At 37.6% G+C, this 3,104-nt stretch overlaps 1 annotated feature.

Moving 5' to 3' along the window:
• Positions 478-772: a silencer, noted in NCBI's record as "tiled region #4201; K562 Repressive DNase matched - State 5:Enh". NCBI's record gives its function as "represses a minimal TATA promoter and a strong SV40 promoter by Sharpr-MPRA in K562 cells {active_cell/tissue: K562}" and the evidence as "EXISTENCE:reporter gene assay evidence [ECO:0000049][PMID:27701403]".

Genomic DNA, 3,104 nt, shown 5'->3' with positions numbered 1-3,104 from the left:
TAAGTCAGTAACTAGAAACAGTAGGAAAAGCCTTAAATTTATTAAAGTAAGTAGAAAATGGTTATTCTCCCACCATCTCATATTTTACTTTACTATTCAATCCAAATTATTCAACCTAATATTTCTTCTATTTTCCCAGAGAGACAACAGGAGGGCTGGGTGTTGGTGGGGAATTGGCATTAGTGAGCTTGGGAGCAAACTCAATTCTCCCTACCTAAGGGTTCCTCCTCAGAGAGATCCACTTTCTAAGAAAAATAAACCCTCTTACCAATTTTAAATCAGTATGAGATCTAATTAGAAAAAAAAAAAAGATAAAACCACAAACCCATGGCACACCAGAGAGATTTAGACACCTGAGAAATAAAAATAAAATTCCAAGCCCCCCAGCTGACTGAATGCCCCCCCTCTTCACCAAGGGGACCCCAGAGAAACCTTAAAAACTAAATTTCTAACCATGACAGGATGGGAGGTCAGACACATCTCATTATACGTCCTTCCTCGCTCACCACCATTAGCCTTTCTTCCCTGTGGGTTAAACAGAAACCAGCCCTTTGAAGACTCCACTGTTGATATTAACCAACTGCCTGACACTGCCCCCTTCCTTTTTTGGTTTTGGCACAACAGCAAACCAGCATTCCTTCCTGATAAGAGACTACTGATGACAGAGTGGTTCTGGCCTGTCTATAGAGGATGCCCAGGGAGGGCTTTCACGTCCTTTGCTTCACCTTTTGATGTCAAAGGACTGAAAACTCCACCTCTGAATCATGCTAGTGCCGTCATGAAGGGACATGAAGCTCAACTGCACATATGCATATTTCTTCTTCCATAAATATACATAACTCCTCCTACAGCTTATTAAATATCTATATTCAGCTACCGTGCTCAGCATAAATCCCTTAGCATTCTTCAGTTGACATGACTGGTGATAAGGGTGGGATCCACAGAGAATCCTGGATTCCCCTAATGTGATCAAAGTCAATGCACCAAGGTCTACAGCTCAGCTGTCTCCCCGACGGTGCTGAGAGGAAGCTTGGTAAGCTCCCCTAGATCTAAGATTTCTCCCCTCTAGGTGAAGATTTTGCAGACTATTTCTCTCTACCCTAACCCTTTACTTCTTCCTGGTTCCTTTCCAGTCCCTGTCCTAGTTCCCTCCATCTGGATCATGGAGCGGATCTTCCCTGTAAGCCCTAGGTTTTGGTGCATGGGTGGGGTTCCCAGATCAGTTAGACTCAGCTGATCTGTAAGGTCTTATAAGGACACTCACGCTAAGGGCACCCAAAGGAATTCTTTTATAATGTGATCTGACACTTTTAGATCTGCTTTACCAGAAGCACTAATGGGAATTCTTCAATCTTAAATGAAAAGACGCTAACTAACAACATGAAAACACATAGAAGTATAAAAACTCACTGTAAAGGTTAGAATAGAGTCAAATTTAGAATACTCTAATGCTGTAATGGTGGTGTGTAAATACTTTTTAACTCTATTATAAAAGTTAAAATATAGCTACAATAATTTGTTAATGGATACATAAAATTAAAAGATGTAAATTGTGATGTCAGTTACATAAGATGTTGGGAGAGGAGAAGTTAAAGTGTAGTTTTTGCTTGTGGTCAGAGTTAAGTGGTTATTGGCTTAAAATAGACTGTTATAAAGTGTTTTTATATAATCATAAACCTCACAGTAATCCCAAGTAAAAAAAAATCTGTAGTAAATACACAAAAGATAAAGTGAAAGGAATCAAAGCATACCACTATAAAAAAAATCACGAAATCACAAAGGATAACAGGAAGAGTAAAAGAAGGGAACAAAGGAACTATAAAACAGTCAGAAAACTACCAATAAACGGCAGTAGAAAGTCCTTACCAATATATAATTACTTTAAATGCAAATGGATTAAATTCACCAATCAAAAGACATATAGTGGCTACATAGATTAAAAAAAAAAAACCAAAACAAGATCCAGCTATACCCTGCCTGTAAGAGACTCATTTTAGATTTACAGACACATATAGGCTGAGAGTAAAGAGATGAAAAAAGATATTCCATGCAAATGGTAGCCAAAAGGGAACAAAGGTAGCTGTACTTACATCAGACAAAATAGACTTTTCATTTTTTTAATTAATTAATTTTTTTTTTTTTAGATGGAGTCTCACTTTGTCACCTAGGCTGGAGTGCAATGGTACAATCTCAGCTCACTGCAATCTCTGCCTCCTGGGTTCAAGTGATTCTCCTGCCTTAGCTTCCTGAGTAACTGGGATTACAGGTGACCGCCACCATGCTCAGCTAATTTTTGTATTTTTAGTAGAGACAGGGTTTCACCATGTTGGTCAGGCTGGTCTTGAACTCCTGACTCCAGGTGATCCACCCACCTCGGCCTCCCAAAATGCTGGGATTACAGGTGTGAGCCACCGTGCCCAGCCCAAAATAGACTTTTTAAGTAAAAAGAGGTTATAAGAGACAGGAAAAGGTCATCATATAACGATGTGTGTCAATTCATCAAAAGCTTATAATAATTATAAACATATATATATACACACACACACACACACATATGCACCAAACATAATCAGAGCACCTAAATATTTATTTAAAAAATTGACAGGACGGGAGAAACAGACAGCAATAAAATAACAGTAAGAGACTTCAGTACCCACTTTCAATAATCAATAGGTCATCCAGATAATAAAATAAATAGGAAGCATTAGACTGGAACAACACTATAGCCCAAATCGACCTAACAGACATATACAGAACATTGCAGCAGCATGCAGTCTTCTCAAGCACACATGAAATATTCTCTAGGAAAGATCACTCATTAGGTCACAAAACAAGTCTTAACAAATTAAGAAGATTGAAATCATCCCAAGTTTCTTTTCTGACCACAATGGAATGAAAGTAGAGATCTATAACAAAGGGAAAATGGTAAAACTCACAAATACATACTAATTAAACAATACACTTTTGAACAACCATTGGGTCAATGAAGAAATCAAAGGGAAATTATAAAAATCTTGAGAAAAATGAAGACAAAAACATGCATACCAAAACTTATAGGATAGAACAAAAACAGTAATAAGAGGGAATTTTATAGAGATAAATGC

Source organism: Homo sapiens, chromosome 4 (assembly GCF_000001405.40).
Source record: "Homo sapiens chromosome 4, GRCh38.p14 Primary Assembly".
NCBI classification, from domain to species: Eukaryota; Metazoa; Chordata; class Mammalia; order Primates; family Hominidae; genus Homo; species Homo sapiens.
The sequence above is the reverse complement of the archived record's forward strand: the minus strand, read 5'-3'. Positions and strand labels throughout refer to the sequence as shown.